Here is a 12,379-nt window from a genome sequence, read left to right on the forward strand (position 1 = left end):
CCCAGCTACTCCAGAGGCTGAGGCAAGGTCATCGCTTGAGCCTTGAGGATGAGGTGGAGATGGAGTGGTAGGGAGATGGGGTGAGATTTTTTTTTTTAATTGGCCAGGCACAGTGGCTTATGCCTGTAATCCCAGCTCTTTGGGGAGCCAAGGTGAGAGGATCACTGGAGGCCAGGAGTTGGAAACCAGGCTGGGCAACATAGGGAGATCCCCATCTTTACAAAAAATAACAAAAATAATAATAAAATTAGCCAGGTGTGGCAGCATGTGCCCATAGTCCTAGTGGCTCAGAAGGCTGAGGCAGGAGAATCACTTGAACCCAGGGGCTCGAAGCTGCAGTGAGCCATGATCATGCCACTAAACTCCAGCCTGAGTGAAAAAGCGAAACCCTCTGTCTTAAAAAAGAAAAAAACAATGTAATATGGCAGGAGATGCTTTGAAGCTACACAATAAATACACATTTTACTCCAAGAATTGGGAATAAAATAATTTTATTTAAAATGAACATAGATATGTCATGATGTAGAAGGCCAAAATTGCACCAATTTGCCCGGGCACAGTGGCTCATGCCTGTAATCCCAGCCCTTTGGGAGGCTGAGGTGGGTGGATCATTTGAGGTCACGAGTTCGAGACCAGCCTAGCCAATATGGTAAAACCCCACCTCTACTAAAAATACAAAAATTAGCTGGGCATGGTGGCGGGTGCCTGTAGTCCCAGCTACACAGGAGGCTGAGGCAGGAGACTCGCTTGAACCTGGGAGGCGGAGGTTGTGGTGAGCCAAGATCGTGCCACTGCACTCTAGCCTGGGCAACAGAGCAAGACTCTGTCTCAAAAAAAAAAAAAAAAAAAAAAAAAGGAAGCTGTGTACGGTGGCTTATGCCTGTAATCCCAGCACTTTGGGAGGCCGAGGCAGGCGGATCACCTAAGGTCAGGAGTTCGAGACCAGCCTGGCCAACATGGTGAAACCCCATCTCTACTAAAAATATAAAAATTAGCCGGGCGTGGTGGTGCATGCCTGTAATCCCAGCTACTCCAGAGGCTGAGGCAGGAGAATCGCTTGAACCCGGGAGAAGGAGGTTGCAGTGAGCCAAGATTGCGCCATTGCACTCCAGCCTAGGTGATTATACCATTGCACTCCAGCCTGGGTGACAGAGCAAGACTCCACATAAAAAAAAAAAGTTGCACTAATTTTTATGATGAAATAGGAAACTTGAAATAAATTTTACAATGTGTCAGTTCCTGTGGACTAACCCAGCTTGAGAAGCCCCTCATGGCCTGCATTGTCTCCAGTGTATTCTCTGGCCTCATGATTTTCTGATCTTATTATCAATTGCAGAGTTTACTGTATTTGGAACCGACAGCCGTCTAAGCCTCAACTGTATTTACTTCTGACTTAGTATTGATTTTAGAGCCTTCTAATTGATTTAAAAAATCATATTTTAAACAGAAATATTCTGATTTCTTTTCTTTTTTTTTTTTTTGAGACGGAGTTTCACTCTTGTGGCCCAAGCTGGAGTACAATAGCACAATCTCGGCTCACTGCAACCTCCGCCTCCTGGGTTCAAGCAATTTTCCTGCCTCGGCCTCTCAAGTAGCTGGGATTACAGGCAACTGCCACCACGCTCGGCTAATTTTGTATTTTTATTACAGATGGGGTTTTGCCATGTTGGTCAGGCTGGTATCAAACTTCTGACCTCAGGTGATCCACCCACCTCAGCCTCCCAAAGTGCTGGAATTACAAGTCTGAGCCACCATGCCTGGCCCTGATGCATTTTTTTTGTTTGTTTGTTTTTTGTTTTTTTTTTTAGACAGAGTCTTGCACTGTCACCAGGCTGGAGTCCAGTGACATGATCTCAGCTCACTACAACCTCCGCCTCCCAGGTTCAAGTGATTCTCCTGCCTCAGCCTCCTGAGTAGTTGGGACTACAGGCACACGGCACCACGCCCAGCTAATTTTTGTTAATTTTAGTAGAGATGGGATTTCACCAAATTGATCAGGCTGGTTTCAAACTCCTGACTTCAGGTGATCCACCTGCCTCAGCCTCCCAAAGAGGTGGGATTACAGGTGTGAGCCACCGTGCCCGGCCCTGATGCTGTTAAAGTTTGAAAAAGGCCAATGATCCTATTGGGATGGAGCTGCTATGTAATAATATTATTACTACTAGAAAATTTAGTTTTCCAGTCCGTTCATACAGGTTTAAGAATATTTGCTGATTTGCAAGAAAGGGTCTCAATTCCAATGTAAATAATTCTATGTCACCCTAAAGCCACACAGTTTTAACTCATGGCTACATGTACAGCCTAGCAGTTCCTTTGGTGCTAACCTTCCAGACAAAGTTCTCTGAGCTAGATCATTCAAGGGTGAACCTCTTAATTGTGCAGCTTCATGTCACTGATGTGATCCTATTATGGTGTCTGCTTGAAGGTTGTGGTTCAATTTTAAATAAAACCTTAGTAGAATTACTAGCAATTTTAGTGTTTGCTCCCTACAATTATTTTATCAGCTAATGAAAAGTTTAAGAACACAATTTGGAGGACTATCAAATTGGTTCTAGACATCTGATAGATGGGTATGCAAATGAGTCAATTTAGAGATATACATGAAAAACATATTTCCTTTTTCTTTTTTTTGAGACAGAGTCTTGCTCTGTCACCAGGCTGGAGTGCAGTGGTGCAATCTCAGCTCACTGCAACCTCCAACTTCCTGGTTCAAGCGATTCTCCTGCCTCAGCCTCCCGAGTAGCTGGGACTATAGGCGCACGACCATGCCCAGGTAATTTTTGTATTTTTAGTAGAGACGGGATTTCACCATGTTGGCCAGGATGATCTCGATCTCTTGATCGAGTTTTGCTCTTGTTGCCCAGGCTGGAGTGCAATGGCGTGATCTCGGCTCACTGCAACCTCCGCCTCCCAAGTTCAAGCCATTCTCCTGCCTCAGCCTCCCAAGTAGCCAGGATTACAGTCATGCACCACCATGCCTGGCTAATTTTTGTATTTTTAGTAGAGACGGGGTTTCTCCATGTTGGTTAGGCTGGCCTTGAACTCCCGACCTCAGGTTATCCGCCCGCCTGGGCCTCCCAAAGTGCTGGGATTACAGGCTTGAGCCACCACACCCAGCCCATATTTCCTTGTTTACAGATATACATATATATATAGTATCATCAAGGTGTATCAACATTTGATTATAATGAGATACATGATACATTGGCTATTATTTACATGGACAAGTAGGTCAGAGCCTGACTCTCTAATATCAACAAAAATCAGGGTGGTTAGTTTGCCCTAACACTAACACAGTTTGCTAGGTGACTGAACAGCAAAAAGGAGGGAACAGGGATCTGAAATCTTAGACACAAGGAACTTCATTTTCTAAGAGCGTGGTCTCTTACAAAATGATGATTTTTATTTATTTATTTATTTATTTATTTATTTATTTATTTATTTATTTATTTATTTTGAGACAGGGTCTCTGTCTGTCACCCAGGCTGGAGTGCAGTGGCGTGATCCCGGCTCACTGCAACCTCTGCCTCCCAGGATCAAGTGATTCTCCTGCCTCAGCCTCCCAGTAGCTGGGATTACAGGTGCCTGTCACCACTCCCAGCTAATGTTTTCCTTTTTCGTAGAGATGGGGTTTCACCATGTTAGTCAGGCTGGTCTCAAACTCCTGACCTCAGGTGATGCACCCACCTCAGCCTCCCAAAGTGCTGCGATTACAGGCATGAGCCACTGCACCAGCCCTGATGATGTTTAAACCAAACAAAAAAGTAAGACTGGGGCCACCACGCTTGCTACACTGGAGGACAGAATATTTAGACACTAGGTTAAAAACCTGTGAGAACGTCCTGAAAGTTAAAGAACTGTCATAGAACAGGTTCTATCATGAGCCTGTTACTAACACAGCCTAGGCTGGTCAGCACAGGGCAGGGAAATCACAAATTTCCTAGTCATTATTAGGTCAAGAAAAGTAGATCTTGAAAAAGAATTAGAAAATGACTAGCTATAATTTGTACCTTTGATGAATGTAATTCTAAAATTTTGTTTAATTTAAGAGACCATTTTAATTTACAAGATGTTAAAATGTGAAAACAAACAAACATGAGTCTTAGAATTAATGACAGGCAGCTTGGTAGATAAAGGCTGGAATGAGGAACACATTGCTTTAACCTGGAAAGAAAAGACAAATGCATGTAAAAACATAATTACCAGCTGCCGGGGCACGGTGGCTCACGCCTGTAATCCCAGCACTCTGGGAGGCGGAGGCGGGTGGATCACCTGAGGTCAGGAGTTTGGGACCAGCCTGGCAAACATGGTGAAACCCCGTCTGTACTAAAAATACTCAAATTAGCTGGGCATGGTGGCGCACGCCTGTAATCCCAGCTACTCCGGAGGCTGACGCAGGAGAATTGCTTGAACCTGGGAGGTGAAGGTTGCAGTGAGGCAAAATCATGCCACTGCACTCCAGCCTGGGTGACAGAGCAAAACTCCGTCTCAAAGAAAAAAACAAACAAACAAAAAACATGATCACAAGAGCTGAGTTTAAAATAAAAAACAAAAAACAAAAAAAGGCCGGGCGTGGTGGCTCACTCCTGTAATCCCAGCACTTTGGGAGGCCGAGGCAGGAGGATTGCTTCAGGCCAGGAGTTCAAGACCAGTTTTGTCAATGTAGGAAGACCTCACCTATACAAAAGAAAAACTGTTCTTTTTTTTTGAGACGGAGTCTTGCTCTGTTGCCCAGGCTGGAGTGCGATGGCGTGGTCTCGGCTCACTGCAACCTCCGCCTCCCGGGTTCAAGCGATTCTCCTGCCTCAGCCTCCAGAGTAGCTGGGATTACAGGGGCCCGTCACCATGCCCGGCTAATTTTTGTATTTTTAGTAGAGATGGGGTTTCACCATGTTGGCCATGCTGGTCTTGAACTGCTGACCTCGTAATCTGCCCACCTCGGCCTCCCAAGTGCTGGGATTACAGGCGTGAGCCACTGTGCCCGGCCAAGAAAAACATTTTTTTAAGATGACATCTCTAGTCATTAGAGAAATGCAAATCAAAAGCACAGTGAGATACCATTTCATATCCACTAACTAAGATGACCATAAACAAATAGACTGATAATAACAAGTGCTGGTGAGCAGGGGAGAAATGGGAACCCTCCTATACTGTTGATAGGAATGTAAAATGGTATAGCTGTGTTGGAAAACAGTTTCTCAGAAAGCCAAACAAAAAGTTCCTATGTGACCCAGCAATTCCACTCCTGTATACACCCAAGGGAAATGAAAACATATTACTACACAAAAATTTGTATGCGGACAGGCACGGTGGCTCACGCTTTTAATCCCAGCACTTTGGGAGGCTGAGGCAGGTGGATCACCTGAGGTCAGGAGTTTGAGACCAGCCTGGCCAACATGGTAAAACCCCATTTCTACGAAAAATGCAAAAAGTAGTCAGGCATGGTGGCGGGCACCTGTAGTTCCAGCTGCTCAGGAGGCTGAAGTGGGTGAATCACCTGAGCCAGGGAGGCAGAGGTGGCAGTGAGCCAAGACCGCACCACTGCACTCCAGCCTGGGTGACACAACAAGGCTCCGTCTCAAAAAAAAAAAAATTGTATGCAAATGTTTATGGCAGCTTTATTCATAATAGCCAAAAAATAGAAATAATTCAGATGTTCATCAACTGATTAATGGATAAAGACCACATGGTGGCCAGGCGGGGTGGATCATGCCTGTAATCCCAGCACTTTGGGAGGCCGAGGCAGGTGGATCATGAGGTCAGAAAATCGAGACCACCCTGGCTAACATGGTGAAACCCTGTCTCTACTAAAAATACAAAAAATTAGCCCGGCGTGGTGATGGGCGCCTGTAGTCCCAGCTACTCAGGAGGCTGAGGCAGGAGGATGGCGTGAACCTGGGAGGTGGAGCTTGCAGTGAGCTGAGATAGCACCACTGCACTCCAGCCTGGGCGACAGAGCAAGACTCTGTCAGAAAAAAAAAACAAAAAAAACAAAAAAAAAAAACACATAGTATATTCATACAATATATGAAGTGGGTGAATCACCTGAACCAGGGAGGCGGAGGTGGCAGTGAGCCAAGACCGTACCACTGCACTCCAGCCTGGTAACAGAGCAAGACCACGTCTCAAAAAAAAAAAAAAAAAAAAGGTAAGTATATAGAGTCAAAAAGTAGATTTATGGTTGCCCAGGCATGGGGGTTTGGGAAGAAATAAAGAGTGGCTCCTAATGTCTATAGGGTTTCTTTTTAGGGTGATGAAAATGTTTTAAAACTGTCCTTATGAACTCTTCCAATATGTTAAGCATTATTAAATTGTAAACTCTAAATGGGTGAGTTGTATGGTCAATAAAGCTATTAAATCACAATCCAGGGGCTGAGATTAAAAGAGAAGAAAAAACAATCCATATAATGTCTGTTTATAATTTTCATTTTTTCCTGTACCCCCACCCCCCCATCCTCCTCCTTTTTTTGAGACAAGATCTCACTCAGTCGCCCAGGCTGGAGTGCAGTAGCTGATAATAGCTCACTGCAATAAGCTGAAAATTGTAATATTAGTAGAATAACTATACCTTTTCTGTTTATTAGCTCCTTCTCCTCAACTTATAAATATTTTGAGGTTGAAATTGCCTTTGCAAAATTATGACAATAAGAGAAATCTGACATAGTTGAGTCCATCTTGCTTCAGACCTCCAAGCTGTCCTTGGTCATTTCTGTGCATAGGCCTAGCTAACCTTGGGAAGAATTTAGTTTATAATTTAACTTGAAAGCAAGGATGATAACAGTCCCGCCCTAAAACTAACACCCTCCTTGCTTAGGGACCAAAAGCAGCCTTTGCAAGACTTTGGTTTTTTTTTTGTTTTTTTTTTTTTGAGATAGAGTCTTGCTCCATTGCCCAGGCTGGAGTGCAGTGGCACAATCTCGGCTCACTGCAGCCTCCACCTCCTGAGTTCATGTGATTCTCCTGCCTCAGCCTCCTTGAGTAGCTGGGATTACAGGTGAATGCCACCACTCCCGGCTAATTTTTGTATTTGTAGTAGAGATAGGGTTTCACCATATTGGCCAGGGTGGTCTTGAACTCCTGACCTCAGGTGATCCACCCACCTCAGCCTCACAAAATGCTAGGATTACTGTTGTGAAGTCCACAAAAATAGGATTATTGGAGGGACCTGAGTTCTGCTAAAATGCAGGAGTAGTTTCTATAATCTCTTACTGCCCAGGAATCATGTGGCCAGAGATCACAAGATTTGTGACTTCCATAGATAACATCACTATTGTGGAAACTAAGATTGGTTTTTAAAGATTTTTTTCAGACTGACCCCACCTGGACTCATGACTCATGACTCAACTGATCCTTTGGCCCTATAAGAGCTGGACTCAGTGCAGGAGGCTTGTTTTCCACATCCCTATGATCTCATCCTCAACCAGTCAGTAGCACTCATTCCCTAGCCCCACCCAACAAATTGTCCATAAAAACCCGAACCTCTGAGCCTTCAGGGAAACTGATTTGAGTATTAGCTTTAGTTGAGCCTCATGGGCTGGCTTTGTGTCAAGTAAAAGCTCTACTACAATGCCGTCCAGTAAATTGGTTTTGTCTGTGCAGCAGGCAGGACAAACCCTTCCGACGATTATAAGGTTGCTTCAATCTTAAGAGAAAAGAAAACTACCTAGTTCTTTCTCTCATTGTTCTTTGATTGGTGTCCTTCCTTCCCACCTCATTAACCAATGCAGTCTGATTTCCACCACCAGGGCCCCTACCTGGAACTATTTCATACTGAGGTTGAAATGGCCTTCAGGGCTGGGCGTGGTGGCTCACACCTGCAAGCCCAGCACTTTGGGAGGCTGAGGCAGGCGGATCACCTGAAGTCAGGAGCTTGAGACCAGCCTGACCAAAGTGGAGAAACTCTCTCTCTACTAAAAATACAAAATTAGCTGGGTGTGGTGGCACATCCCTGTAATCCCAGTTACTCAGAGGCTGAGGCAGGACAATTGTTTGAACCTGGGAGGCGGAGGTTGTGGTGAGCCGAGATTGCATCATTGCACTACAGCCTGGGCGACAAGAGCGAAACTCTGTCTCAAAAAAAAAAAAAAAATGGCCTTCCAGCCAGGCATGGTGGCTCATACCTGTAATCCCAGCACTTTGGGATACCAAGGTGGATGGATCACCTGAAGCTGGGAGTTCGTGACCAGCCTAGACAACATGGCGAAACCCTGTCTCTACTAAAAATACAAAAAAAAATCAGCTACTCAGGAGGCTGAGGCATGAGAATTACTTGAGCCTGGGAGGCAGAGACTGCAGTGAGCCGAGATCAGGTCTCTGCACTCCAGCCTGGGCAACAAAGCGGATTCTGTCTCAATAAATAAATAAATGACAAAATCCAAGGGATTCAGTCCCCATCTTGACCTCTTGGGATAATTCATCACTGTTACACCCTTCTAGAAGTTGTTTCCTTACTCCTATAAACCAAAAAGTATCTGAGACAGCTATCAATCAATTTATCTTGCCAAGGTTAAGGACATCCAAAAGAAATAAAAACAGAATCAAAGAAATAGTCGGTGGCCTGTGCCTTTCTCCAAAGATGATTTTGAAGGCTTCAATATTTAAAGGGGAAATGTGGGCTGCAGGGGACAGAGGGAGGGTACAATAATCTACACGTTGCAAAAGAAAAGGAGCAGGGAGGGGAATGGTCAATTATGTATTCATCTCACACTCAGTAAATGGGCACTTTACATAAGATGAGGCCTGGGGTGGTGGCTCATGCCTGCAATCCCAGCACTTTGGAAGGCCGAGGCAGGTGGATCACCTGAGGTCAGGAGTTCGAGACCAGCCTGACCAACATGGAGAAACCCCATCTCTACTGAAAATACAAAATTACCCAGGTGTGGTGACAGTTTCCTGTAATCCCAGCTACTCGGGAGGCTGAGGCAGGAAAATCACTTGAACCTAGGAGGTGGAGGTTGCAGTGAGCCGAGATCGTGCCACTGCACTCCAGCCTGGGTGACAGAGCAAGACTCTGTCTCAAAAAAAAAATAAAATAAATAAATAAATAAAAATAAGGTGAATATACAGTAGCTACCTGTGGAGATATTTAACCTTTTATCAGTAGCTATCTGCCTAGGAACAAAAGCAAGCCAGTTTCTTGCATGACTTAGCTTTCAGCTTAATTTTTTTCTTTTGGCAGAGTGAACTAGGGTCCCAAGTTTATTTTCCTTTCGTACTCTCAAGACACCAATCACTCCTTGTTCTCCTCCGGCCAAGTCTCAAGTCTCTTTCCCTCCTGCCAACTCCTTAAAGGTACAAGTTTCATAGGATTTTTATCCCTAAGGTTTTTTCTATTTCACTTAAAAGACCTTTTTCTGGGTCAACTCATTAGTCATGGCTTCAATTACTGAACTCCCAACAGAATTGGGCTCTGACCCTGCTATGAACTTTAGGGCAATGGTTTATTCTTCTTTACTTATGTATTTGTCTGTTCGTTTGTTTGTTTGGTTTGTTTGTTTATTTATTAGACTGGTTCTGGCACTGTCACCCAGGCTGGAGTGCAATGGCATGATTGTAGCTCACTGCAGCCTGGAACTCCTGGGCTCAAAGGATCTTCCTGCCTCAGCCTCCTGAGTAGCTGGGGCTACAGGCACACATCACCACACTGGGCTAATTTTTTTTTTGAGACAGGGTCTCACTATGTTGCCCATGCTAGTCTCAAACTCCAGGCCTCAAGTAATCCTTGAGCCTCATCTCCCAAAGTGCTGGGATTACAGGCATAAGCTACCATGCCGGGCCCATAGTTTCAATTGTTTACAAAGTGACTCCACCTGTATGTTCCATGGACACATCACAATTATATGTTCACATATCAACTCACTATCTTCCCCTGAGAGCAGCATCTCCACTTGTTATCCCCATTTGGTTCCATTATCCATCAGTTACCAAAGTCATCACTAGATTCCATTATCTCCTGCCTCAGCCCCGAGATTCAATGTCACTCAACCCTATGGTTTCTGTCTCCTTTGCAGTTCTTAAATCCATCTCCTTTCCACCATCCTGCCCCCAGTTTATTTATCTGGGAGGTGGCATCGAGGGAGGAAGAGGGATGTGCATTAGAACAACCTGTGTAATGTTAACCAGAAAACATACAAGCCCAGCGTGGTGGTTCACACCTGTAATCCTAGTGCTTTGGGAGGCAAAGGTGGGATGATCGCTGGAGGCCAGGAGTTTGAGACCAGCCTGGGCAACACAGCAAGACCCCATCTCTACACAAAATTTTAAAAATCACTTGGGCATGATGGTGCATGCCTGTAGTCCCAGCTGCTTGGGAGGCTGAGACAGGAGAATCGTTTGAGCCCAGGGGTTTGAGGTTACAGTGAACTATCATCGCACCACTGCACTCCAGCCTAGATTACAAAGTGAGACCTCTCAAAAAATTAAATAATAAACAAACAACCAGCCGGGCACGGTGGCTCACGCCTGTAATCCCAGCACTTTGGGAGGCTGAGGTGGGTGGATCATGAGGTCAGGAGTTCGAGACCAGCCTGGCCAAGATGGTGAAACCCCGTCCCTACTAAAAATACAAAAAATTAGCTGGGTGTGGTGGCGCACGTCTGTAGTCCCAGCTACTTGGGAGGCTGAGGCAGGAGAATCGCTTGAACCGGGGAGGCGGAGGTTGCAGTGAGCCGAGATCATGCCATTGCACTCCAGCCAGGGCAACAAGAGTGAAACTCCGTCTTCAAAAATAAATAAATAAATAAATAAACAAACAACCATTACATACCCTACCCCATCTCCAGAGATTCTGAACCTGTATATACTCTTCCTCATCTTCACCGTCCTTACCCATTTTCAACACTGCTGGCAGAAAGATCCAATGATCCTTCAAAAATGCAAACTGTCTGTTTAGCCTTTCACTGGGTCTCTAGGATGAAAGTCCAAACTCCTCTCAAACCCGTCACCTTGGGTTCTTGCCCACAGCTTCCACCTCACCTGCGGCCACTCCCTATGGACATCCCGCACTCAACCCTTATCAGATTGCAGCACTTGCTGTTCCTGGAACACGCCTTCTTTCCTCGCCTTAGTGTTCTCTTCTCTGTGGATATCCTCTGTGATACCTTTCCACTTGGTAGTCACTTTGTTCAAAACGCCTCTCCTGACTTCTCTAGGCAATTAGTTATTTCTGTCAGAGGTGTTGGAGCCAGAGCAACTCTATGTTGAATAGAGGCTGAGACCTACTGGGCTGCATTGCCAGGAGGTTAGGGATTCCTAGTCACAGGATGAGATAGGAGGTCAGCACAAGATATAGATCATAAAGACTCAGCGGATGAAACAGGATGTGAAAAAGAAACCAGCCGGCCGGGCGCATTGGCTCAGCAGACGGATCACGAGGCCAGGAGTTCAAGACCAGCCTGGCCAACATGGAGAAACCCAGTCTCTACTAAAAAAAAATACAAATTTAGCCAGGTGTGTTGGACTACTACGCGCCTGTAGTCCTAACTACTCGGGAGGCCAGGAGTTCAAGACCAGCCTGGCCAACATGGAGAAACCCAGTCTCTACTAAAAAAAAATACAAATTTAGCCAGGCGCGTAGGACTACTATGCGCCTGTAGGCCTAACTACTCGGGAGGCTGAGGCAGGAGAATTGCTGGAACCCGGGAGGCGGAGGTTACAGTGAGCCGAGACCGTGCCATTGCACTCCAGCCTGGGTGACAGAGCGAGACTCCATCTCAAAAAAAAAAAGAAACCAGCCAAAACCCACAACAACCAAGATGGTGATGAAGGTGACCTCTAGTTGTTCTCACTGTTTATTGTACGCTAATTATAATGCATTAACATGATAAAAGACACTCCCACCAGTGCCGTGACAGTTTATAAATGGCACAGCAACATCCAGAAGTTACCCTATATAGTCTAAAAGGCAGAGAAATCCTCAGTCCTGGGAAATCCTTGCCCCTTTCCTGGAAAATTCACGAATAACCCTCTCCCTAGTTAGCATGTAATCAAGAAATAGCCATAAAAATAGCCAACAAGGCCGGGCGCAGTGGCTCACGCCTGTAATCCCAGCACTTTGGGAGGCAGGTGGATCACTTGAGATCATGAGTTTGAGACCAGCCTGGCCTACATGGCGAAACCCCATCTCTACTAAAAATAGAAATAAAAAAATTACCTGGGTGAGGTGGCACGCATCTGTAATCCCAGCTACTCTGTGGGCTCAGCAGGAGAATCACTTGAACCTGGGAGGTGGAGGTTGCAGTGAGCCGAGATCGTGCCGTTGCACTCCAGCCTGGGTGACAGAGCGAGACTTCATCTCAATTAAAAAAAAAAAAAAGAAAAAGAAAAAGCCATAAGCAGCCCTCAGTGCTGCTCTGCCTATGGAGTAACCATTCTTTTATTT

The 12,379-nt window shown here is 45.4% G+C and overlaps 1 long non-coding RNA gene across 1 annotated transcript in view; it reads right to left on the reverse strand.

The window, feature by feature from the left end:
- LOC105377448 (uncharacterized) overlaps nucleotides 1–12,203 on the reverse strand; it is a 192,690-nt gene extending 180,487 nt beyond the window's left edge. The window contains exon 1 of the long non-coding RNA NR_133945.1: nucleotides 12,152–12,203. This is a non-coding gene — a long non-coding RNA (uncharacterized LOC105377448). The remainder of the gene's footprint in view (nucleotides 1–12,151) is intronic.
- Nucleotides 12,204–12,379: the final 176 nt, after the last annotated feature.

The sequence above is a fragment of the Homo sapiens genome, chromosome 4 (assembly GCF_000001405.40).
Source record: "Homo sapiens chromosome 4, GRCh38.p14 Primary Assembly".
Lineage (NCBI taxonomy): Eukaryota > Metazoa > Chordata > Mammalia > Primates > Hominidae > Homo > Homo sapiens.